Genomic DNA, 25,600 nt, shown 5'->3' with positions numbered 1-25,600 from the left:
GCTATTGGAACTTGCACAGAAGCTGTATCATCACAGAGTTCTAAGCATATGCATAATGGCTAAAAATCAGTACAGTTTACGCACACACCTTGGTTGAAAGAAGGACCCATCATTTTGGATAAGGTTGGGAAATTGTAGCCCCAAGCAGTATGGGAGTCAGACCCTAGCTACTAGCTGGATGGGATTGGCCAAGTCATCTAAACGCTCAGAACCTCAGTTTGATTCTTAAAATGAACATTATATCCATGGGATCTAAGGAAGCTTCTGGTTCTTTGCTTGGTGCATAGCAGGTTATCAGGAAGTCAGAGTGTCTCCTTCTTCCTTTACCTTATAGCTCAATAACTTTCCTTTGGAGGGCCTGTGAAATGCAGATTCCCAGGCCATGCCTACACCCTGCCTCCCCCACTAATTTATAATAGTGAGGTGGGATCTCAATGCCCTTTGCAGTAATCATCCTTTAAGGGAGGGCTGGGGACTGCGCTGGGAACCATCAAAGCACATTGGAAGGAGAGGCCCTTTCTTGGGCCAGTGCTTCAGTGCTGTGTCCCCTCCTCCCCAAATGACTCTGGGTCTGCTGTTGCCAGGGGTTGGAGGATGCCTGAGGTCTGGCGGGCCATTTTTGTCAGTGGCTCTTGCATCCATTCTGATGGGACCTATCAAAACACGCAGGACCTATCTAAACTTGACTCCTAGCCCCACGCCCCTGAGGCCAAGCCTGCTGCCTGCTGGAGGGAAGGACACCCCTGAGGCCAAGCCTGCTGCCTGCTGGAGGGAAGGACAGACACTGGCAGCTGGTTGTACAGTACCTTTGCCTGCCTAGGAAGCTCAAGCACTTTTTTTTTTTTTTTTTTTTAAGACAGAGTTTCTCTCTGTCGCCCAGGTTGGAGTGTAGTGGCGTGATGGAGCTCAGCTCACGGCAACCTCCGCCTCCCGGGTTCAACCAATTCTCGTGCCTCAGCCTCCTGAGTAGCTGGGAGTGTGCCACCAGGCCTGGCTAATTTTTTTTGTATTTTTAGTAGAGACAGGGTTTCACCATATTGGCCAGGCTGGTCTCGAACTCCTGACCTCAAGTGACCTGCCTGCCTCGGCCTCCCAAAGTCAAACATTTTTTCATCATGTGCATGCATTTTTCATTTGCAAGTTTTGCCAAAGCTACCCATTTTTTCCTTCATGGTTGTTTGCAGTCGATCTTATTCCTAGGCTGCCTTCCCCACGGCTGTCACCAGTCTGTGAGCTCATGAGGGCTGGATGGTGCCCTGGGATCCAGCTACTCGAAGCTGCTGGCACAGTGCCCTGCACTCAGAGAGGCTAATAGTAGTGACTGCGTGAAACCAGTGGCTACTTCATGTCTGTTTACAGGGCTGGCCTCGGTTGGTGTGTAACTGTGGGCCCTTTGCTGGGAGGGGCGAGGGCTTGTTCCCTTCTGGCTCAGCAGTGTCCCTGTCACCTGGTCCCTCCTCCACAGCAGCCATCAGGACTCATTTCATGCAGCTCTGATCAAAGGTAAAGAGGGCATGGGCAGCAGGACTTTGTCCCAGCCTCGCCAGCTGAGTGGCTGATGTAAATCAAAAAGTCTCTGAGGCAGCTCTCAATCAATTTAGAAGTTTATTTTACTAAGGTTAAGAATGTACCCTGGAGACAGATCTGAGCCTTTCTCCAAAGATGATTTTGAGGGGTTCAATATTTAAAGGGGAAAAGCGGGCTGGAGGGGAAAGAGGGGGTGTGTGGTCACATGACTGAATCCACAGGTTGTGAGAGAAACGGAGCAGGTAGGGGAATAGTCCTAATTATGTAATTGTCTTGTGCTCAGTAAATCAACACTTTACATAAGATAAGGTGAACATGGAGCAGCTACCTGTAGAGATGCTTAACCTTTTCTCTGCAGCTCTCTGCTTAGGAACAAAAGGAAAGGCAGCTTCTTGCATGACTCAGCTTTCAGCTTAAGTTTTTCTTTTTGGTGGAGTGAACTGGGGTTCAGAGTTTTTATTTTCCTTTCACAGCGGGCTCTGTGCCAGAAGCATGGGAGGCCCCTCTGAGCATTGCTCCATGTCCCACCTGCTGGGGGCCCTTTGGTAAAGGACTCGGGGAAGATGTGGGTCCTGGGGATAGGACACTGGGGTGATTATGAAGAGACGGGGGCTGTGTCCTGGACCACATGCAGGCGTCTCAGCAGACAAGCACACACACCGTCTGTGCCGGTCCTGGAGGTACCGCCAGAGGAGCTGCAGCTGGTGTGGGTAGAGCAGAGCTCGGGAGCCTGACCTGGCCACAGAGGCCGACTGGGTACCTTGTCCAGGGTAGCAAACACCATGGGGACATCCAACTCCCATTTGCAGACTTGGGAAGGGACAGGTGCCATTACCTATGGTGGTTCTAGGTAATTTGTTCACACAGGGAAGGAAACCCCAGCGCCAGGAGTGAGCAGGGTGGTGAGTCCTGGTCTCAGGGAGAAGCTGCTGCAGAGGCTGGGTCTGTAGGTGCCCGGCCTCCTGCCTAGTTTCAGGAGGTGACTTCAGGCCCCGTGGGGAGGGGCTTGAGGCAAAGGTTCCAGATTGCAGCCCCGCCCCTCCAGGCCCCTCTGTCTCAAGTCTGCACTGCCTGGGGCCAGGCCCAGGTGTCTCAGGTCTGCACTGCCTGGGGCCAGGCCCAGCTGTCTCAGGTCTGCACTGCCTGGGGTCAGGCCCAGCTGTCTCAGGTCTGCACTACCTGGCCGGGTGGTGCCTCATTAGGAAACATGGCTTAAAGGGTAGTCGGCACTAAATTGAGTAGCACAATCCAGTCACACAGTTCATCTGATGGAAACTTCCAAAGGAATACAGCATCATGCATTGTTGAAGTTGAAACATACATGAACTTTGCTATGTACATTTCTTTTATGAATTATCCATTGCCCTTTAATATTGCTTTGGTATCTGTCAAAGTTCAGACGTTTTACTTTTTTGTGGTAAAGTCTGTCCATTTTTTCTGCAGCATGAGAGTTTTTGCTTTTGATATTATGTCTGGTGACGCTTCTCCGAGAGATGGAAGACTCTCAGAGACATCCCTTCTGGGCAGGTGAATCTGAAGACTTTGATCTAGTTAAAAAAATCAGTTTTTCTATTAAATAATGGTTTGTTTTGGCCTATAAAAATGGTAAAACGCTGACAAATTGATGGTAGAGAAGCCAGTGAATTTGGCAAGTCTAGGGTGCCTATGAGGTTGTCGGGGAACAGCAGATAAATTTCCCAAACACATGAGGACAGAGGCAGCTCCTCGGTTTGGGTCCTGAGGGAGAATCTATCGTGGCGTTGCCATTGCTAGTGCTGCCCCGGGGGCCTTGCGATTGTCTGGGGACCCAGGGCCTGTGCCATGGTGTTGACAACAGGCTCTCGGCTCAGGGAGGACGGGATCTGGGAGGAAGGTCCCCAGAGAATAAACTGGTTCGGAGGCTGTCCTCTGTGACGAAGGCACCCTATCCCGCCCCTGGAAACCTCTCCCTTCAGCCCGCGGTTGGCGTGGCCAGCATCTGGGCTCTGCCCTGGAGCTGGCTTCCCTTTTACTGAAGGTGCGTCTTCTGGCGCACTCCTGTTCTTGGGACTCTGCAGCAGACGGGTCCACAGGAAGCCGTGGAGTTGCTAGGGCGGGTGTGTTAGAGGAAAGGGGAGTGCGTGGGGAGAGAATTGGTGCTTTTTCCTTGGACTGGAGGAAGCCCTGAAAATGGATGCCGACGAGGTGGCTTTTGCCTAAGCCCACGCACAGGGGCTGGTGTGTCTGCAGCTTCACGCCACCATGGAATATGTCCTCTTTGTGCTGTACTTCTCTTTCTTCCTGTGTCTCTGTGCCCTGGTGTGCCTGTACTTCTCTGGCTGCCAGGAGATGACCTATAAGCATGAAGGTAGGCAGCTGGTTCGGGGTTTTGCGTTTTGAGGTTCTCTGGCGGTCCCTGGCTGTGGCCGACCGATGCTCCTGCCTGTGACAGGTGGCTCTGTTGAAAATGATAGGAAGGTGAGAAGACAGGTGGCTGAGAGAGACTGGATCTGGTTGGGGGGCTATTTGTTTTGGGGGTACCTCCTCTTTTTCCCTCTGCTTCATCTGACCCGCTGAGGAAGAGCACCTCTGTATATGCAAAGTGTAAATGGAGGAGACATGTTTACTCTTCATTCATTTTGCCAAAACTGAATCTTTTTTTTTTTTTTTTTGAGACAGGATCTTGCCCTGTCACCCAGGCTGGAGTGCAGAGGCACAATCACAGCTCACTGCAGCCCCAACCTCCCAGGCTCAAGTAATCTTTCCACCTCAGCCTCCCAAGTAGCTGGGACTACAGGCGTCAGCCACCATACTCGGCTAACTTTTTAAATAACTTTTTGTAGAGATGGATTCTCACTATGTGGCCCAGGTTGATCTTGAACTCCTGGGCTCAAGCGATCTTTCTGCCTCAGCCTCCCAAAGTGCTGGGATTACAGGCATGAGCCACTGTGCCCGGCCAAAACTGAATCTTAATCTGAATCTGGATTCATCTGTAGAAACGAGTCAACAAGGAGAGGCTTTGGTTGCAAGGAACATGGAAGGCTAGAGGAATTACCTTTTTATTCAGTAGATGGGCTCAGAATGAGCAAATGGTGGACATTTTTGCTCCTAATGTATCTCTTGTGAGGAAAAACCTAGAGACTCTTAGAAGAGTGGAGACACAAAAAAATGAAGTTTCTTTCATGTTTGCCATTTTTTTTAAAGCCCACTGTGTGCCAGTCATGACAGGAAACAATGTTTTCTGGGCGGTTCTCCCCTCATCTCTTGAGAAGCAGGTGGTGAATTATTTCCTGCATTTTTTGAAAATGCAGTGCAAAACCAGTTGCATTGCCTTCAAGGAAGATAGCCACTGTGTTTTTACTTTAAACATTAATATATTGTTTCTATTTTTTATTAATAAAGACACAAATATATTGAGAAATCGAGTACATGTAGGCTTACTGCATAATATAATCACTCAACACAACTTTTCTCTAAAGGAAACAAACTAACCCAGTGTTATAAAATGTTATAAACACTAACCCAGTGTTATAAAATGTTATAAAAAAATGTTAAGGCTGGGCATGATGGCTCACACCTGTGATCCCATCACTTTGGGAGGTCGAGGTAGACGGATCACTTGAGGTCAAGAGTTTGACACCAGCCTGGCTAACATGGTGAAACCTTGTCACTACTTAAGAAAAATATATATGTACAAAAATTAGCCAGATGTGGTGGCACGCACCTGTAATCCCAGCTACTTGGGAGGCTGAAGCAGAAGAATCGCTTGAACTTGGGAGACGGAAGTTGTAGTAAGTTGAGATTGCACTACTGCTCTCCAGCCTGGGCGACAGAAGGAGATTCTGTCTCAAAAAAAAAAAAAAAAAGTTAAAAAATTTTTAAAAATACCCAGCATAAAAACCTGAGGGGTTGGGTCCCAGACAACTCGTTGCTGCTATGGGAACTCTGTGTGTGCCGTGCCTGGCTGTGGATTCCTCTGCATTGCTGCAGGATTCAAATTGGACTGCCCTTTTGTGTTTGGTTTCTGCTCTAAGAGCTGCTTCCTCTTTCCCTCAAAGCAGCATAGTTCTGTGGAGTCTTGGTCTCTGGGGCCATATGATATGATACTGTCGGGGGCTCCACTGGGTCTGGAGTTAGGCTGTTTGCTAAGGTTGCTCTACTTTAAACACAGGCGGCAACATCGGTAGTTAATGCCCTGTATTAGGGCTTGGGAGTTGAGTCCTTAACTAGCAGTCCTGTAGGGTTTTCGGCAGCATTGGTAGTTAATGCCCTGTATTAGGGCTTGAGAGTTGAGTCTTTAACTGGTAGTCCTGCAGAGCCTTCACAGTGGATCGTCCTAGGTAATTGAGCATTGAGTCGTTGCCCCCAGGAGGGTCCCTGATGCTGACGTGGATGGTCACAGCCCAGCAGTGTGTTCTAAATGTTTGGAAAGTGTGTAACTTGATGATGCTTCCTGGGCTACAGCAACAAACAGACTCGTCCCCAAAGGCCTTGCAGTTAGCAGTGTTTACAAGAAATAAGGTCAGCTCAGTGGCTGTTCAGAAAAATGTGGAACGTGGAGCTCAGGGGGGTGACCTGCGTGTGCAGAAGAGCTTGAGTGAACGTGGAGCTCAGGGGGGTGACCTGCGTGTGCAGAAGAGCTTGAGTGAACGTGGAGCTCAGGGGGGTGACCTGCGTGTGCAGAAGAGCTTGAGTGAACGTGGAGCTCAGGGGGGTGACCTGTGTGTGCAGAAGAGCTTGAGTGAACCTGGAGCTCAGGGGGTGACCTGTGTGTGTGTGTGCAGAAGAGCTTGAGTGAACCTGGAGCTCAGGGGGGTGACCTGTGTGTGCAGAAGAGCTTGAGTGCTGCAGATGCATCACTCCCGTGGGTGCCATTGTCACCATGGGATGTCACTACCACTGCTCTCTAGAGCTGGTTGGAAGAGTCCATGATGCCTGAAGTCGGGTGGGGTTCTCATCCAGAGGGGAGATTTGAGTAGATGATTGTCTCCAGCCTCTGCAAGGAGAGAAATGACATTGAAGTTGATGGTGCCCATAGTCTTCACGTACCTGCCAATGAGACTCATCTGGGGCATGTAACCACATGGTGCCCAACTGATGCCAGCTGTGTGAATGAATGGAAATGGTGTCATGTGCAAAACAAAATCTGTTTGTGGATAGACAAACTAGTGTGGCTTTGAGTTCATTAACACTGGGATACAGTCGAGAACAAAAGGGCCAACCCCCTGTCTTCATGGAGCTTCCATTTCAAGGGGTAGGGGGAAGACCATCAGTAAACACAATAGCTTGCCAGATCTTACGTCAGCGGGGAGATGTGCTATGGAAAGGAATAAAGAAGGAGGCCCCAGAGGCTGGGGCGGGGGTGAAGCAGGAGGGACCTGGGCATGGTGGCCAGGAAGCCTTTTCTCATATGGTTGCATTTGTGCAGAGACCTAAGGGAATCTAGGGAAGGAGACATGTGGATTCTGGGGAAGAGCGTCTCGGAGCGCAAAGGCCCCATGGCAGGTGTGTGTGGGGTGCAGAAGCCTGGAGCGGAGGAGGAGAGGGAGGGATGATGCCAGGGCAGGATGGGAGGTGGATCCTGTAGGGCCTCGCAGACCACTTGTAGCCTGCCTGGATGTTGGTGGTTTTAATAATTCCAGAGAGAGAGATATTGGTGGCTGGGACCAAGATGAAGGTCCCAATGGAGAGAGGGGGAGAGAGGGCTGGATTTTGAGTTGAAGGTGAAGACAACAGGGTTTCTCCCAGGGAGGGCAGGCATGAGAGGTGGAGAAGACAGGGGAGGACTCCTGGGATTGGGGCCTGGGCAACTGAAGCATGAGCTGCTGCTGCTGGACTCAGGTTAGATTGCGGGAGGTGCGGTGTTGGGGGTAAGTCACTGCCCGCTAGGATTCCACAATGCCATAAAGGACGCAGCTGACGTATGAGTCTGGAGTTCGGGGGAGAGTCGTATTCCCCATGCATATTAAAAAGCAAGGAGGAATGTGGGAGGGGTGATGCAGTGAGCAGAAAGACAGGTGCCAAATGCAAGAACGTTCTGGGTGACGTGTGGTGGTGGGTGCCTCCCTTGCAGCACCTTCAGAAACTGTGTAAGGTGACAAGGGTGTCCCTGCATCTTCTTCCTTGCCTTATGTCTGAATTATTTCCTAATCACATTATTAACTCTGGTGCCAGTCACATTTTTCTCACATTTACAGATATCTGGGTAAAACACTCAGGCTGGGAGGGGCCCTTAGTATGTGGGGAGTGCCTGGGTTTTCTCTGTGGGTTGGGGGAGCTCTGGGTGAAGTCATGTTTTGGATGAGCCAGCAGAGCCTTGGGCTGGGCTCTGGAATTCAGTTTTGATTCATTCTTCATGGTCTGAAAGGCATTCATTGATTGTAAAAACAAATAAAAATCCTTGTCGGGGGCTGTTTGGGAAAAAAAAACCCAAAAAAGCTATGTTCCTAAAATAAGAGACATTGATCTGGTGATTGTGGGTTGAGGTCTGTAGCCCCTAGGGGATGCAAGCTCCTTGGGGCAGGGACCTGGCCTGGTTATGATCCTATTGTATTCCCCAGGCCTGCCCCGTGTCTGGCCCATAGAAGGAGCTTTGCCAGTGTTTTCTGAGTGAATGAATTGATAGACAGATGAATGAAGCCCCATATCCTATGATATTTGGAGTGGGAGAAGTGCCAGCAGGGCAACTCAGAGGCCGTCACATAGAGCCTTACAATTTGCCTCTGGATCTGAGTGATGGTCGTGTGAAGGTCTATTACATGATTCCTTCTCATTCTGTGAATCTTCCCAGTTTTCTATAATAAAAAGTTAAGCAGAGATTGCCTCTAAGTGTGGGTCTGGCCAGGACTTGGGCCACACATTTGCCACACTAGTCAGAGTACTAGGACTATGGCTGGGCTCTCCACTCCTTCAAGCTGTTGCCCCCTCTGCTGTCCTTATTCATCCAGTTCTTCTCCTTAGAACTGAGCATCTCCCTGGACCCTGTCCCCCTTCTCCTTGGTACAGCCAGTGCGCTGCTCATGGAGCGTGACGGAGTGCTGGGCTGCTTTCTGGGCACAGGGCATGCATGGCCCCCTTTTGTGCTCACAGGTGAGGTGGCTTCTCAATCCATTTGCTAGAGAAGGAGGCTGGTGCTCCAGGGGCCAAGTGGTTTGCACAGGTCTACAGCTGGAGAGCCAGAGCCAGGACCAGGGCCAGACTAGCTCGCTCAGGCTGTAAACCCTAGGGTCATCCGCCACCTGCTGCCACCTTTTATCCCACCCAGTCAGTTACGAAGCCCACCAACCGCATCTTGTGATGCCCCAGTGGCCCAAATGTCAATCATCACCCCCCTGCACTGGCATGCCCACGACCAGGGACTGGTAGACTCTGGCAATCCTCAGTCGTTGCTAACATCATACAAATTGCGTTTTACAGAAGCATGTTGTGGAGACATTTTTTGGATTTGATGAGGAGTCTGTGGACTCAGAAACGTTGTCCGAAACATCCTACAACACAGACAGGACAGACAGGACCCCAGCCACGCCCGAAGAAGACTTGGACGATGTAAGCAAACCTGCAGAGAGGGCGGGACCTCACCCCAGATGCTCTCGGGGCGGCACCTCCTGCTTTTGATAGTTGCAAGTTTCGCTCCCTTGCCTATAGTTCTGAACCCCAGATGACCAGTTCCTACCAGTGCATTATCAAAGCCAATGGTGTGAAGGGAAGGCGGGCCCCACAGCTGTGGGCTCCATGAATGGCGATGGGAGGGCAGCACGTGGGGACCCTTTCTTTCCCCAGCACTGATTTCCCCACCAAGGAAATCTGTGGCTGCCAAGTTCAAGCTGAGTCATTGAGGGATGTTGCCTTGGGTTTCCTCACCATTTGCAATTAAAACTGCTGCGTAATGGTCTCTCCCTGGTCCCCACGCATGTGTGCACACACGGACACACCACCGGGCAGAAACAGCATCATTGCTTTCTTGACTAAGATAAAGCATGTAATCCAAAAATATATAAAGAAGAAGGTGAAGAGCCCTGAAGTCCCATCACCCCAAGGTCACCGCCTCACCCTGTCCTGACCACCTGTGCCCATCTGGGTGCATAGCCAGCTTCTTGAGCAAGGTGGATTCGTGAGGGGGCAAAGACCAGCTTCGTTCTCACTCACCTTCCCCAGGTGAATTCTTTCAGGAGTGCTGATTACATCTCAGGCAGACCTTGTGGGCTTCTATGCCTTCCAGTGATGGGAATAATCACATTTGATTAATTTCCTAAACAGCAGACTTCATTCAGCGCAGACCTTCCCCTTGCTCCCCACCAGGGCCTGCGTCAGGCTTGGCTGCTGTTTCCCTACCTTGCTCTTCTGCCTCTTCCCATGCAGGCCCCTGGTGGCTTTTTCTGAGCCCAGGGAAGAGCAAGAGTGGGAAGGGGGTGCGGATATGCCGGGGCAGCTGGCCCTCAGGGCAGTGCCCTCCGGCAGGGGCAGGTGGATCGCGCTACCTCGCGAGGGAGCACTTCTCCAGGTCTCCACAAGCTCCCCTTGCTGTGCTGCACCCCACAGCTTCCTGGTGAGGGACTGGGCACTGCAGCTCCTTGCGCCCCCACATCCCGAGTCTCTGAATGGTCCGCCTCCCACACACCCCTGCTTGTTGTCCTTGTCCCCTCCTGGTGGCATTTTCTGTGGAGTCCCATCTGGAATGACTTCTAGGCTGGTTTCCTCCCATGGGTCTATTTGCCATAGGAAAATGTGGCACATGCTATAGGCGCTGGCACATTCAACCCCAAGGTGGCCCTCTCTTTGCTCTTCCATCTTGTGCCAAAACTCTAGGGGACACATGTCACCTCTGCAGGTCGTCCCCTGGACATCCTTTCTCACACTGGGAGAGACACACCATCCTCCCCGTCAGCCCACCAGCCTCAGCCCAAGTGCCGGCTGGAGGGAGGGGCCAGGCCAGTGCTGGAGGCACACAACAGTCCATCAGCCTGTCCTGCACAGGGGTCTGGACTAGGCTACTCAGGCTTTAGGGTCTTGTTCTCAGCCATGGGCCTTTTATGTTTAACTTAAAACAGGATGCGTGATTTTCAGTTTGCTTTTTCCCAGCCAGTGATATGTAATAGGCATCTTTCAGCACCAGAACATGGGATTGCCTCATCCTCTCTCATGGCCATGTGGGGCTTTCCCATGGATGAGCAGCACGCACTGATGAGGGATTTATGCTGTGTCGTTTTCCACACCTGTGAACCATGCATGGAGCTCCTTCGTATTTGTGTCTTTACACACTTATGTGGCCATTTTTTTTTTTTTGGAGACGGAGTCTAGCTCTGTCGCCCAGGCTAGAGTGCGGTGGCATGATCTCGGCTTACTGCAACCTCCACCTCCCAGGCTCAAGGAATTCTCCTGCCTCAGCCTCCCGAGTAGCTGGAATTACAGGTGCCCACCACCATAACCAGCTAATTTTTGTATTTTAGTAGAGATGGAGTTTTGCCATGTTGGCCAGGCTAGTCTCAAACTCCTGACCTCAGGTGATCTGCCTCAGCCTCCCAAAGTGCTGGGATTACAGGCGTGAGCCACCATGCCCGGCCATCTCTTTAGGATAAATTCCCAGAATGGGAGGTGCTCAGTGGGAGGGGACACCCTTTACAATGGAGACCTTTGCTTCTGGAGTTGGGGCTGGTTCCATGGTACCAGCCCTTTCTCTCCCACCTGCTCCCACATAACTCAAGTGATTCCTGTGGGTGGGAGCTCCTGGGAGGAGTGCTGATGGCTGAGGAGGTGCCTCCTCCTGGCAGCCCTTTCCTCCAATGCCCTAGTTGCTTCCTGGCAATGCGAGGCTCCTTAAGCACCTGTTGGCAGCACTGTGAGATGTGGTCGTTTGATGTCTAAGTTGACCCTGGCACTCAAAGCCATAGCAAGTGTTTATTTATGTTTATTATTAAAATCAATCATAAATCATTTATTATTGTAATTTTGCACTTGATTATTTGTTTTCTTCTCCATTATGTGAAGGCCACAGCCCGAGAGGAGGCTGACCTGCGCTTCTGCCAGCTGACCCGGGAGTACCAGGCCCTGCAACGCGCCTACGCCCTGCTCCAGGAGCAGGTGGGAGGCACGCTGGACGCTGAGAGGGAGGCCCGGGTGAGTGCAGCCAGCCTCAGGGCTCGAGGGAGGGGCCGAAGGCCAGGTCATGTAGGTCCTTTCCAGAAGTGTGACATACCCTGGCTTGGACACTCAGAGGGGATTCTGAGAGGTGGTGGGGAACCCATAGCAAGGTCTCTGCTGTGGTGACATTCTAGATCCCTCTCTGCATCCTCGGTGTGATGGCAGGCGCTCTGGAACATTGAGCTGTTAGAGGAAGCAACGCTACATATCACCTGTGCCGTCTGTTTGGAGGAGAGCATGTGTTCAGAATTTAACACTAAGTGATGAAATCACAGACTTGGCTGGCTTGCAGGCTTCAGGCTCCGCTCCCTCCAGGGCTGCCAGCCCCCCGCCCTCCAGGACATCCACCAGAACACTTGCAGGGACTCTCAGGGTGCTCCCCAGCCACCAAGGCACTCTGGGCCCTGTGACCACCTCAGTCCAGGCCACGCCATTCCTCAGGCTAGGCTGAGCTCTGCCTTCTGGAAACTTCCATCCACTGGCCCTTCTCCCACCTTCGGGAGTCACATAGACTGGGGCCTGCTCTCGCTTCCTCCTGGGAGTGTGGAGGACTCCCGGAGAGCACACACGGGTGCTTCCCTGCATCCCCTCCCCCATCTCACCCCCACACTGGCCCCCTGAAGCAGGAGGAATTAACCCGATCTTCCGAATGAGGAAACAGGCTCAGAACTGAGCAACTTGCCCCCAAATACCCAGATGATGCTGAACAGAGCTGGGAGTCGAGGCCAGGTTTCTCGGACTCAGGGCCTGTGCTCTTTCTCAGAGCCCTGTTTGGGAATTCCACAAATGGATGGATTTTGGTAGTCTTAAAGGCGATGGGCCAGAATGGGGCATTGCCTGGCAAATCTGATGGCAAAGGCAGAGAGGAGAGGCCACGCCCACGTGGAGTTTGTTCCAGGGGCAGCAGTGGCCCTGTAGCGGGGAGCCAGGAGTAAGGGGGAGTGAGGTCAGCAGGGAGGGAAGCTGCTTGTCCCACCATAAAAGGCCCAGTCTTTGTCATCTAGGTCAGAGGAGGGAAACTGTGAGGCTTTGTGTGGGCTGAATAATTTTTGTTTCGCTTTTTAAATTTCATCTACTTGCCAACATTTAAAAATCAAGAGATTCTATAGAGAAATCCAGGTTCCTGACCTCTCTTGAAAGGTCAGAACATCTGGCAGCAACAGGCGTCCCATTTCTTGTGGCTGCTGCTGGGTAGCAGTGTCTCCCTGAGATGGGACGTGTGCCTCTGGCTTGCCACAGTCCCCACCACTCCCTGTTACCCCACACCCAGTTGACTTCCCTTATTTATATGACTTTCTTGGTGCTTGAAGTATTTTGCTTTGCAGCTCCTGCTGCAGGTGATAAGGGGCCTGGGCCAGGGGCTATGCAATTGTGCCAGCGTGTTGAAGTCTGATGATGGCTGAATGAGCTTCAGGTTCAGTAAGGATTGGACTTGGTCAGAGAGCTGGGCCTGGGCCCCCAGTGTGGCTGGCTTCTGGCTCACTCACCCCCTTCAAAAACAGGGTCCCTTCTCCAGGCTTCATTTTCCTTGCCTGTAAAGCCAAGCAAGTTTTGGTTTGTAAAACCAAACAAGGCTGTTCTCTTCTTAATGATTTTTGTGTTTGAAGCTGAGCCATGCTTCTAGTAGGCCAAGGTTGAATACGTGCTCCTAAAAGTGAACCTGTTCCTAAGGTTTGCCTATAAGGACCCTAGGCATTGCTTGCATTGGGGCATGACGCTTTCCGCTTCCCTGTCACCCATTGGAGGTGACCTGCTCACTGCCTGGTCTTTTCCCTTCCAGACTCGGGAGCAGCTACAAGCTGATCTGCTGAGGTGTCAGGCCAAAATCGAAGATTTGGAGAAGTTACTGGTTGAGAAGGGACAGGTGAGCAGGAGTGATCTGTGCTCTGTGAATCTTAGCCTTTCTGTCCCCTTGGTGGTATCCCTGGGGCTCGCCCTTGTGCCAAGGGGGACATTCTGTGGGGCTGGATCAGGAGCTCCAGAGACGCTAGAGGAAAAAACACTAGCAGAACCCAGGCACGAATGTGCTCCCTACTGTACCTGTGTGCCGAGTTAAAAAATCAAAACAAGGTATGGCATTCTAACTTGGCTTTTTCTTTGTTTGTTTGCCAAATGCACAAAAAAGAGGTAATTCCAAAAGCAAAGGTGTGATCAAAGCTGTTTTTGACTTGAACCTGAAGAAGAGCTGTCATTTTCTATCAAGATTTTAATTGTGAAAATGAACCAGCACCCATGACTAACCCTGGGTTATTGCAGAGGCCCCACCTCTGGCCTCTGTGTCTTAGAACAGTCTGGTCCTGTGCTGCTCAGGTTAGAGTCAACTGCACCTACCCATCCACTGCATTTGATTAGGCAAGGCTGGTTGACAGTGAGACACAGCAGAAAAGCAATGCCTGGGCCTAGACCTGTCCCCTGGAGTGGGGGAGCCAGAGAGGGCTCTGGGTGGAAATCTGGCCTCTCGGGGTGGCATGCGAAGGTTCGTATGGGTCGGCCTCCTCTGTGTCAGAAGTGCTGCTGTGGTGACATAACCTGAACGTCTCCCTGGCTCCATGTGACAAGGTGTATTCTGTTCACACTCCTGTTTCTCCCAAGGGCCTCTCAGGGATTCAGGGAGGGGGGCACCACCATCTTGGAACTGCCCCATCTCGAACTTTTCCTCTGCTTGGCTGTTTGCTGCCTCAGCAAAATTCATCAGTCACGTGGCCCCACTAACAGTGAGGGTGCCAAGGAGGGTGTGGGCAGACGGAGTGTCTGGTGGCCCCCACCCCTGCCTGCAGAGAGGCATCTATGGGGGGCTGAGGAGGCCAGGCAAGGTCTACCACAGTTCCTAGGCCTGGTGGGATACAGTGGGAGGAGGCGGGTGTGAAGCAAGGGGTGTAAGAGGTTCCAGGCGGCTTAACAGAAGCAGCTCCAGAAGAGCACTGCAAAGCTGCAAAGCTGCAAAGCTGGCAGCTCAGAATGGCTGCCGCAGGGCTCGGGGTTGAGACTGAGGTTCCCATGGAGGCGGACGGCCAGCGACCAGCATGCATGCCTGGCACAGAGCAGGTCACCACAGCAGACTTTACCAATGGACTGCGTGGGGGAATGTGAGTGCCCAGCCCTCTGGAATGGCTTCTCTAAACTGTGGTCTGCATCCTCCATGCGGTGGGATCGTGACGCAGAGCTCACATGCTATAGCTGGCCACCTGGGTCAGAGGGCAGCTCTGCCACTTCCTTGTTGCATAACCTTGGGCAAGTAACATAATCTCTTTGTGCCTCCGTTTCCTCATCTTTAAAATGGGGCTAATAATAATACCTAACACATTAAGCAGGAGGACAGAGGAGAACCCAGGAGTAGCTGGGGCAGAAATCCAGGTGCGAGATGATAAGGCTTTTTTGTTTTTTGAGGCTGCTAGCCTCAGTTTCCCTCTTCCAGGCTGAGCCCACATATCTGTAACTTGCCTGATCACAGTCTATAACTAACTTAGTGTTGTAAGTAAATGCTTATTCCTTGGCACTGCAAGGAAAAATTAGCATTCAGACAAAAAGTTTTCTCAGCAAGGCAATTTTCCTTTCTGCAGAAAGGGTGCTGCCTGTCAGCAGTCCTGCCACGAGAGCACATTGAGCAAAGAAAAGCAGGGATATTTATTCCTTATGCATTGGTTCCTTACTGCTGTGTCCTGTCTCCATTGGCTGGAACTGGACCTCCCAGTCTAAGCTAGACCCAATTGACTAATAACTTAAAACTTTTCTAGATAGGTAAAGGTAATAGAGAACAAAGGGAAAGAGGAAGTTGCTTTCGAAAAGACTTAGAGAAGTAATAACATTTCCAAATAAGGAAGGGACATAAGCTGCGAGCTGGGACATGCTTGAGCAAGTCTATAACAAATATCTTGGTTAAAGTACAAAGACATAGAATGTACTTATTCCCTTATATCTAACAGCTACATAGGAGGGGCTTAACAAAGAGTTGTTAGTATAAAGGCAAGGAGGCTTGAAGGAAGTTAGTTTTTAAAAAGAAACTATTATTTTTAACACTTATGATTTATTCTTTCATAAGAAGGGAAACTTTGAAGAGGAACTTTTCTACTTGCCACACTTAGCCTCCCCCAGGGGGGTAGGTCCTCTCTGTGTGGCCTGCTCTGCCCTCCATGCCTGCTGGAGGATGGCACCTGTCTGAGGCTGAGCCTGTGTCCATTCATCCAGCAAGCACTTCCCAGAACTCTCACCTATCCCAGGCCCAGTGCTGGTACCTGGGACGCTGAATCAGTTTGCTGTTGCTGAGTAACAAACCACCCCAATACTTAGTTATTTAGAACAGCAGGGGTTCTATTTGCACACAGTTCTGTGGATCAGCAGTTTGGGCTGGGCTCAGGCTGGGCACAGACTGCCAGCTCCCGGCCAGGTGCCTCCACCTCAGGGAGGCCCACCTGGCTTCTTTCCCCATGGTTTGGGGGCAAGCCCAAGGCCCAAGGATGGTCCAAACCTCTGCTCAGGTCACCTCTGCTAACATCCCAGTAGCCAGAGCATGGCATGGCCCAGCCCAGCTTTGAGGTTGAAGAAATGGACCCCATCACCTGCTGGGAGGAGCTGCCAAGTCACATGGCAGAGGGGGTGCACACAGAGGTGGGAGGGAGTGTTGCAGCCATTTTTGGCCACAATATGCCACAGACAAAAGGTGGGTGGAGCACAGCCACTCCTCACAGGTGCTCGCAGCCTGGTGAGGCCCACACATGGATCAGCATGAGGATGATGCAGGTGCCAGGTGCCAGGGAGACAGAAGCCTGGAGGCAACCAGGGCCTCTTCTGTGCATTCCATGTGCTTGGGACCAGACCCTAGGCCGGGCCTCTGCTTCTCAGCATCCTAGAACAACAAGACTCAGTGAGCCCGGCCCAGCCTGGTGCTTGGGAGGGGCCTCAGCCCAGCCCCAGCTCTGTGGCTGACCAGCAGAGAAGGGAGGAGGGAGTTGGAGAGGGCTTCCCATGCGTTTACTTATTCCTTCATCCATCCATTCCGGGATTCACAGAGTCCCCCTGTCCCCATGTGACAGGCACTGTGCCAGGCTCAGGGTGCCACAGCGACAAGACGGACTTGGTGCCGTGTGCTCACAGGACTTATGCAAGAGGATACGACCAGGCAAAGAAACGTGGGAAGGGCATCGCAGGCAGAGAGAGTGGAATGAACAAAAGCATGTCAGTGTGGCTCTGGCCAGTCTGCGGGGTATGAGGTCAGCCTTCCGCATGCGTGGAGGGTCTGCCAGTGTGGACCAGTCACCCTGGAGGCATGTTTCTGTTAATTAGACGGACAGAATGGAGTCATTGTGCTTTTGGGAATGTGAACGAAGTGGAGAAGGGATGCCCCACAAACCAGCCGTTTCTCTTTTTGGGGTTTAAAAGTGGACAGGGACAATGAGGGCACATCACGGCTGTCATTTTTTATGACCTTTCCATGGTCAGTTTCATAGAAAGTGACCTTTCTCACTAAAAGTTTGTTACTTGACCATCTGTTTGCTTCCATGAATGTGACCATATTTAGTACTTTTCCTTAGGATTCCAAGTGGGTTGAAGAGAAGCAGCTGCTCATCAGAACAAACCAAGACTTGCTGGAAAAGGTGCGTGACCCCACCTCAGGGAAGCACACAGCCGCAGGGCAGTTGGGACCCCGCGGGCCTGCTCAGACTACACGGGTCGTGCCCAGCGCCATTTGGGCACTCCAGTGACCAGGGCCTCGGGTCCTGCACACCTCCCATGAGGAGAGATGTCTTCCTCACATGGAATCAAAGCCACATCTGTGGTTCTATCCTCTGGGACCAGGTCTGCAGAGCTGGTTTAGGTCATCCTCCTTGGGTACTCCACAGAAATGGAGAGGCCTGGCCTGTCTTCCCAGGCCACTCTGCAGAAATGGGGAGGGCTGGCCCCAACCTCTGGGGATACCCTGCAGAAATAGGGAGAGCTGCCCTGTCCTCTGGGGACACCTGCAGAAATGGGGAGGGCTGCCCCAACCTCTGGGACCCCTGCAGAAATGGGGAGGGCTGGCCATGTCCTCTGGGGACACCCTGCAGAAATGGGGAGGGCAGGTTCTCTCCTCTGGGGACACCCTGGAGAAATGGGGAGGACAGGTCCCAACCTCTGCAGACACCCTGCAGAGATGGGGAGAGCTTCCTTGTTCTCTAAGGACACCCTGCAGAAATGGGGAGGGCTGCCCCGACCTCTAGGGACACTCTGCAGAAATGGGGAGGGCAGCCCTGTCCTCTGGGGACACCCTGCAGAAATGAGGAGGGCTGCCCCGACCTCTGGGGATACCCTGCAGAGATGGGGAGGGCTGGCCTGTCCTCTGGGGACACACTGCAGAAATTGGGAGAGCTGCCCCGACCTCTGGGGACACTCTGCAGAAATGGGGAGGGCAGCCCTGTCCTCTGGGGACACTCTGCAGAAATAAGGAGGGCTGCCCCGACCTCTGGGGATACCCTGCAGAGATGGGGAGGGCTGGCCTGTCCTCTGGGGACACACTGCAGAAATTGGGAGAGCTGCCCTGTCCTTTGGGGATACCCTGCAGAAATGGGGAGGGCTGGCCCGACCTCTGGGGACACCTGCAGAAATGGGGAGGGCTGTCCCTGACCTCTGGGGACAACTGAAGAAATGGGGAGGGCTGGCCTATTGTTGGGCTGGTCCATCTTCCTGACACTGGGCTCCAGGCCGCCTCTGCTGTGGCTTTATGGTCCAGAGCCCTTCAACCACCAGTGTGGTGGGCGCCTGAGGCAGGTCCATGGGCAGATCCTCAGGCCATCTCAGCCCAGTGCAGCTGACCCATAATGGGAACTGGGCCTCTGTTCTTCTCTTTCTGGTTGTGGAACTTTCCAGAGCTCTCGGAGAGTCTGCTTGGCGAGTAGCTCTAATGCTTTGGAATTAAAATCGTAGCTTATTTTTTCCTTATTGGTGTACAATTCACTTATTCTTTTTGTAAATCTACTGTGTTGCACAACCATCACCGCAATGCAGTTTTGGAACATGATCAGCCTGATAAAGACCCCTCCTGCCCATGTGCAGTCCCCCCTCTGCCCTGCCTCCCGGCCCCTGGCAGCCTCCAGTCCACTGTCTCTGGATGTTGCAAGTAAGTGCAGCCAGACCCTAGGTTAGGCCTCAGCTTTTAAGCATCCTGGGGCACCAGGACTGGAGGAACCTGGCCTGGCCCTGGTGGGGGTCCTTGGCCCAGCCCCCAATCTGCTGCTAACCAGCATGTGGCCCCATTCCCTTCCCTGCATTTCTCAAGGGCATTTGGGACAAGGGCATTTGGGACAGCGAGCAACCCCAGGCCTCGGGAGAATTTTAGCATCTTTGGTGTCTTGTTCACTAAATCCAGGGAGCCGCAGAAAACCCTCACCCCCTCATCCCATTTCTAAAGGTCTCCCGGGGGTGGGATCACCTGGCAGAGGGCCCCCCTCTAGCCTTCTGTAATGGTGCTATGAGGCTTTACTCAAAGCCCTCGTGTACATGCGTTATTTTAGTGACTTCTCGCTGCTGCCAGGCGATGGGTGCTGCTGTTTCCCTTCTTGGACAGAAGGTGAGGGCTGGAGTAGTGGGCTGAGTGATCCAGCGTCTCCCAGCTGGGTCTGGGATGCAGGCGGTGTCACTTCCCACACTGATCTGCGCTCTCAGAGAACTCCTGCCTTTACGGCTTCTTCTGCAAGCTCTGTGGGGAAGCAGGAGGGGCCCTCCCTGCCGCAGCTGGCTGGGCCTCTGTCTGGGTGGGTTGAATCTGGTGGGGCTTGAGTTGGAAAGACCTGGACAGGCTTTGGGTGTGGCACTCTTGCTTCCCAGTGTTTGGCCTCAAGGAAGGGACTTCATAGCTTCATGCCTCAGTCTCCCCATCATTCATTTATTCAGCAAATATGTAAGTAGCCCCTACTCCACTGGGCCAGGCTCGGAGGTGCAGGGGTGAACCTGGCCCAGCCTCTGTCTCCTTCATTTCCAGCCGCATCAGCAAAAAGGACCTGCAGCACCTACCTCATTCGTTTGCTTGCTGCAAACCCTGCCCTCTCCTGCCCCTTGCCTCCGTGGCCAGTCGTCTGTTTCCCTCCAGCCACTCAGTCAGGTGGCCTGTGACCAGGGGACCCCAGTGCTCCCACCCATCCTGTTAATCCGCAGGTATCTTTGCTCTAGATTTACAGACTGGAAATGGAAGAGAACCAGCTGAAGAATGAAATGCAAGACGCCAAGGATCAGAACGAGCTGTTAGAATTCAGAGTGCTAGAACTCGAAGTAAGAGACTCTATCTGTTGTAAACTCTCAAACGGAGCAGACATTCTCTTTGAACCCAAACTGAAATTCATGTAAAGCTCTCAGATGTTTTCAAGCATGTGTAAAGGGGACATGTTATAGTTTCTTTCTTTCTTTCTTTCTTTTTTTTTTTAAATCTGTATGTTCAGAATAATTTCACTGCCTTAATGTGTTCTGGAGAGCGTGCTCACCCAAGTCTATGGACATGTACCAGAGCTAATATATTTATTGCCTATGGCTTGTTTTGCACTTAATAAAATAATTTGTTTTTGCAATATTTTGCCTTTTTTATTTGTGTTTCATTTCCATAACTACTTCTTTCCTGCATGCGTAGTCACCGGGTACGCATTCTGCACACCCAGACGGAAGCACTGTTGCAATTAATAACACACCTTTTTAAGTGATCTTGCATGCAGTAAATCTCACCTTTTGAAATAGCAGAGTCTGACCTGAGCCAGCAATTGACTCTAGAATGTGTTTAATGCCAGTTTGGGCCCATTTTCTATTTGCCAAGGTAAACACAAGGTAAGTAAAGACAGGGTAGAAGGATGTATTTGCATAGGCGTTTAAGAAAACTAGTTACGTTGTTCAAACTCTTTTATCCAGTAAATACAGACCCAGGCATTGCAGCAATATTGGACTAAAGAAATTACTATTTGCAACTCAAACTGCACCTCAAAACTACTGGAGGGAGATCAGTTGCTGTTCACATGTAGAAATCCTGTTCCTTCAGGAACTGCCCCAATGCACCGAGTGAGATTCAGTGAAAGAATACTAATGGTCTTACTGCTTCCAGCTGAAATCTTACCTCGGGTGTGTTACTGTATTGCCTTGCTCTCATGGTACTTCATAATCCTTTTTTTTGTTTCTGTTGAAAAATCATTGGCATTTTAAACATCACTTAAGTTTGTGATGAGTTTCTCTAAGCACCTGTAGTGGCGCAGCTCTGCTGTCTCTCAGCTGAAACCTTTGCATGCGTGAAACCCTCAAAGTGAGCACCTTCACAGTGTCTGTGGCTTCCCCAATTTTGTTTTCTCCTGCCGGCTTGAGTTACAATTCTGTCTGCATTAGAACTGACCGTGTGTACCTTGTCGTGTGGGCAGGGACCTGTGGCCTGAGTATTTCTCACACCAAGAGTGACTCAGCTCTTGGCTCAGCATGACATGAGCATTTTATTTGTGCGACAGAATTGGAAGTTATGTGAGGTCATTGTTAATACTCCTGCCGCTGTTAGAGAACCTTTCACAAATCCTTGTTATGAGTCTTTCTCATGAGAATTCTATAAGCACTACCCAGTTTACTAGAGTTTTCTTTAATGGTCTCCACCATCCTTCAGAACCACCAGAAACAAAATGGCTTTTTTTTTTTTTTTTTTTTTTTTAGGACAGAGTCTCGCTCTGTCACCCAGGCTGGAGGACAGTGGCGTGGTGCACTCTTGGCTCACTGCAACCTCTGCCTCCCGAGTGTGAGTGATTCTCCGGCCTCAACCTCCCTAGTAGCTGGGATCACAGGCACACACCTCCTCACCCAGCTAATTTTTGTATTTTTAGTAGACACAGGTTTCGCCATGTTGGCCAGGCTGGTCTCAAACTCCTGACCTCAAGGGATCCACCTGCCTCAGCCTCCCAAAGTGCTGGGATTACAGGTATAAGCTACCATGCCCGGCCTACAAAATGACTTTTGTTCATATAAAATCTGAGTTTTGGGGGCCACTTTTTCTATGGGGACGCCATTTAAGTAAATTTGCTGGTAGAAAGTCATCTGTGGAATGGAACCATCATGAAATTTGTTTTTTTGCTTGTTTTTTTTTTATTTTATTTTTTTAAATTTTGGCTAATAAGGGAAATAAGGTTTTCTTACTAGACTGTTTCAAACCTAGGTTAGTCAGGTTAGGGCTTCATGGAAATTGATTGAATTAGTGCCCAGCCCTCCCTCTTTCCTTCAGTCTCACCCCAGAGCATCTTCTTAAGCCCTGCCATCTAGATTCGTGCCTCTCTTGGCTACATCTCTTAGTAGAATTATTCAAGAAGCCCATTGGTTCTGTAGCTAGATTCTGCTAGAATGGCCCAAAGCATGTTATTTTTTACCTTACCGTAACTCTGCTCAAACTAAAGCAGTTTGATTTAAAGGTGTAATTTGAAAAGGTCTTCTCTGCTGCCCCACCATGACAAATCTGTCCATCGCTAAAGTGTTTAAAGTCCATTCTGTGCAGGAAACACATCTGAGACCTGAGTCCTGTTCTGCCACTGTGCTTTAGCCCTGTAAGTAATTAGGTTTTCCCGACCTTTTAAAACCTTGTCATTTATGTATGATTAATAAATACCTCTTCTGGGAAAAGGCTTGCTCTTCTTCCTCCCTTAGTAATTAATTGAGCTTTGCTGTAAGTCTAAGGCAGGGGTAGAATGATCACTTGTTGTGTTAGTGTGGCTCAGAAAACAATTGTGAATGGTATTGGCAGATTGTATTGGAAAGAACAGAAAGTCAGCCTTTGGGGCCGGGCGAGGTGGCTTACGCCTGTAATCCCAGCACTTTGGGAGGCCGAGGCGGGTGGATCACCTGAGGTCTCTGGAGTTCAAGACCAGCCTGGCCAACATGGTGAAACCCCGTCTCTACTAAAAAAGAAACAAAATCTAAATACAAAATTAGCCCGGTGTGGTGGCGCGTGCCTGTAATCCCAGCTACTTGGGAGGCTGAGGCAGGAGAATCACTTGAACCCGGGAGGTGGAGGTTGCAGTGAGCCAAGATTGTGCCATTGCACTCCAGCCTGGGCGACAAGAACAGAACACCCTCTCAAAAAAAAAAAAAAAAGGAAAGAAAAAGAAAGAAAGTCAGCCTTTGGGGTCCTGGCCCTGCCGCTTGCTAGCGTGGGACCTCAGACACAGCCTCCCTGGGCCACCACCTTCTCTTTGTCTACAGAATGAAAGCAATGAGCCTGCCTCCTGGGGTAGTGTGAGGATTAGACGGGAGAGTGGTGTGCCTGGCACAGAGTAATAAACCATAGTTGGTGGCTTTTGCTGTCTATTCAAATTTAGTGCAACTGTGTTTTTTAAATTTTGTAATTCTGTGATTTCCTGGGTTTTGATCTCACAATGGATAAAGCCACGGTACCCTGTTAACCATTTCTCCCTAGATGAATAGGGAAGAAGTAAACACATTTCCATGGAGAACTGCTGCGTGGGAAGGCGTGAAAACGTCGTAGCTCACGGACGAGGCTGCTTCTAGTCCGAACTCGTGCTTTTTAGTAACGTCTGTGCCCACTGGAATTCCTTGGTTTTTGCTGAGTAACGTGGGAAAATGGCAAGTGGTAAATAATCCGGTCACATTCTGTTTTTAAACCGAATCTTTTCCCCAGGAGAGAGAGAGGAGGTCGCCAGCATTTAACCTCCAAATCACCACCTTCCCCGAGAACCACAGCAGCGCTCTCCAGCTGTTCTGTCACCAGGAAGGAGTTAAGGTAGCGTGCCTGGGGGGTGCCTCTGCTGAATGCCAGCCAAGGGCTCGCTCAGTGCCCGGCTCAGCTGCAAAGGGGGAGTGCTGGGATAGAATTGATTTTCATGAGATACCCCTTGTGTTGAAAGTCACAGTTTGTCCATTTATTAAAGGGTCACCAAATGTGACTCTATTTTGACCCATATGTTTAAAACAGCAGAGGCTTGGTGTATAGCCCTGAGTGTGAACCCCAGTTCCACCACTGCTCTGGCCTGTAAACTTTCAGAGCCTTAGCCTCTTCGCTATGAAATCCAAATGACAATACCCACACCGTGAAGCTGGGGTGATGACACATCATGAACAGACTCCAAGTGCCTGGCCCTCTGCCTGGCATGCAGCAAGGTTCTGTAGATGGTGGCTGTGGTTGCTAGAAGGGCCCGGGGTTTACCGTGTCCTAGAGCCCTGCTCAGCTCCAGGGACAGCGTCCTGACTCACCCGCTTCCATGGCCTTTCTAGAAAGCAGTGTTTGTGCTGGTGTAACACTCAGCAAATGAGCAGCAGTTATGCCTTCTCTCCCTCACTCCCCAGAGGAACGGCTGGGCGCAAAACTTGGCCAGAAAAGAAAAGAAAGAGCGCGGTGTCTTGTCCAGAGGAAAGGCCGTGGCCCTAGAAATTGGTATGGTTGGTCTCTGTAGCTCACACAAAAATGAACGTTGGAAATCTCTTCCAGGATGTGAATGTTTCTGAACTTATGAAGAAATTAGATATCCTTGGCGATAACGGGGTAACTATGAGCGATCGGTTTCTGCTTTCGTGTTCTTGTTTTGATCTGGGTGTATTCTGTGTGACTTTTGTTTTGTTTTGTTTTTAATTTCTCTCTGATGTAAGAGATCTAAGAAGTACAATGTAAGGCTTTTGTATGGCCGTGTTCCTGTGTGGGTGGTGGGGTTGGCATTCGTCAGAAGTGGGGTTCCGAAGTTAGATTCCCCTGGCCTGTTGAGTGAGGAGGGGACGGGAAAGCCTCAGAATCCCTACCCAGAATGCAGGTGGAGTCACACGAGATTGCTGAAATCAGAAAGGGATCTTTTTGCCGTCCTGAAAGATGAGCTTGCATGTAGCCATGTTTCACAAAAGCTTAGTGCCACTCTGTGAAATGTCCCCAACCAGAGGGACAGGAGCTGTCTGCCTGAGGCGCTGGCCCCATTAGCGAGAGGGAGCTGACCCTCGGGTGCAGCTCAGAGAGAAGCTAGGAAAGTCGCTTGGTGTTGGCGGGGCATGGTGGCTCACGCCTGTAATCCCAGCACTTTGGAAGGCTGAGGCTGGCGGATCACCTGAGGTCAGGAGTTCGAGACCAGCCTGGCCAACATGGCGAAACCCTGTCTCTGCTAAAAATACAAAAACTATCCAGGTGTGGTGGTGTGCATCCCAGCTGCTGTAATCCCAGCTACTCGGGAGGCTGAGGCAAGAGAATCACTTGAACCCAGGAGGCAGAGGTTACAGTGAGCCGAGATCACACCACTGCACTCAAACCCAGGTGACAGAGAGAGACTCCGTCTCAAAACAAACAAACATAATAAAACAAACAACAACAACGAAAAAAAAAAACTTGCTTGGTGCTGACTGTCTGCACGTGGATTTGGGATCCAGTGTCAAATGCCCTTGCCCATTTTTGTGTTTTAGAATTTGAGAAATGAAGAACAGGTTGCAATAATCCAAGCTGGAACTGTGCTTGCCCTGTGTGAAAAGGTAGAAGCCAGCGGCATTTCTGTGCTCACACCTTGTCCCAGCTTCCCAGCACCATACAAGAAACTGTACATTGGCGTCTTGCTTTGCGTGGGAGCATGCGTTCCAGTCCGTCTGCGTCTGCACGTGCACATGCATGCCTTTCCGTTCTCTTCATGACGGAAGTCCCACATGCTCACTGTAGAAAACCCAGAGACGCAGGAGGAAATCAAAACCCGGTGGAGGAAACAGTCTGTCACTTTTGTGTATTTCCTTCCAGTGGTTTCCCTGCGTCCATTGTTTTTAAACTTAGTTGAAATGATACTTGACATCCAGTTTTCCATCAGGCTTTAGAAACATCCTCCATACCATTTAACATGGTTCATAAACGTGTTTAAATGGCTGTGCATCTCTCCATCACACAGTTATACTGTTAGTTACTTCAGCCCCTCTTAGCTGTTATATATTTCTTTCTACCATCATGCAGTGGTAAACTGCACATTTTTTACACATAAATTTCTATCTACGTCTTAAAATATGCCCATAAGAT

The 25,600-nt window shown here is 50.8% G+C and overlaps 2 protein-coding genes across 5 annotated transcripts in view, besides 3 other annotated features; both read left to right on the top strand.

The window, feature by feature from the left end:
* The window catches only part of JAKMIP1 (janus kinase and microtubule interacting protein 1), a 174,351-nt gene that overhangs the window by 126,619 nt on the left and 22,132 nt on the right, over positions 1-25,600 (top strand). For 3 of the 4 annotated variants that reach the window (NM_144720.4, NM_001306134.2, NM_001306133.2), the window contains 5 exons: positions 8,923-9,051; positions 11,491-11,619; positions 13,424-13,507; positions 17,172-17,234; positions 19,783-20,176. In NM_144720.4, coding sequence (NP_653321.1) covers positions 8,923-9,051; positions 11,491-11,619; positions 13,424-13,507; positions 17,172-17,234; positions 19,783-19,956 — 579 coding nt within the window. In that variant the 3' untranslated portion in view covers positions 19,957-20,176. Of the gene's footprint in view, positions 1-8,922; positions 9,052-11,490; positions 11,620-13,423; positions 13,508-17,171; positions 17,235-19,782; positions 20,177-23,251; positions 23,354-24,058; positions 24,113-25,008; positions 25,075-25,600 lie in introns of those variants that run through there. The other variant, NM_001099433.2, reaches the window with a different exon arrangement.
* Positions 1,138-2,067: an enhancer, noted in NCBI's record as "NANOG-H3K27ac-H3K4me1 hESC enhancer chr4:6073591-6074520 (GRCh37/hg19 assembly coordinates)". NCBI's record gives its function as "activates a minimal SCP1, AML or CMV promoter by ChIP-STARR-seq in primed H9 embryonic stem cells {active_cell/tissue: H9 hESC(primed)}" and the evidence as "EXISTENCE:reporter gene assay evidence [ECO:0000049][PMID:30033119]".
* Positions 2,998-3,928: an enhancer, noted in NCBI's record as "H3K4me1 hESC enhancer chr4:6071730-6072660 (GRCh37/hg19 assembly coordinates)". NCBI's record gives its function as "activates a minimal SCP1, AML or CMV promoter by ChIP-STARR-seq in primed H9 embryonic stem cells {active_cell/tissue: H9 hESC(primed)}" and the evidence as "EXISTENCE:reporter gene assay evidence [ECO:0000049][PMID:30033119]".
* On the top strand, positions 3,769-8,954 carry LOC128125818 (uncharacterized). The gene is made up of 2 exons (NM_001415001.1): positions 3,769-3,874; positions 8,923-8,954. Exons 1-2 carry the CDS (start codon positions 3,769-3,771, stop codon positions 8,952-8,954), a joined length of 138 nt encoding a protein of 45 aa, NP_001401930.1.
* Positions 23,552-24,751: an enhancer, noted in NCBI's record as "BRD4-independent group 4 enhancer chr4:6050907-6052106 (GRCh37/hg19 assembly coordinates)". NCBI's record gives its function as "activates an origin of replication core promoter dependent on BRD2, P300/CBP, MED14 and CDK7 cofactors, and independent of BRD4, by STARR-seq in HCT116 cells {active_cell/tissue: HCT116}" and the evidence as "EXISTENCE:reporter gene assay evidence [ECO:0000049][PMID:35650434]".

The sequence above is a fragment of the Homo sapiens genome, chromosome 4 (genome assembly GCF_000001405.40).
Source record: "Homo sapiens chromosome 4, GRCh38.p14 Primary Assembly".
NCBI lineage: Eukaryota > Metazoa > Chordata > Mammalia > Primates > Hominidae > Homo > Homo sapiens.
The sequence above is the reverse complement of the archived record's forward strand: the minus strand, read 5'-3'. Positions and strand labels throughout refer to the sequence as shown.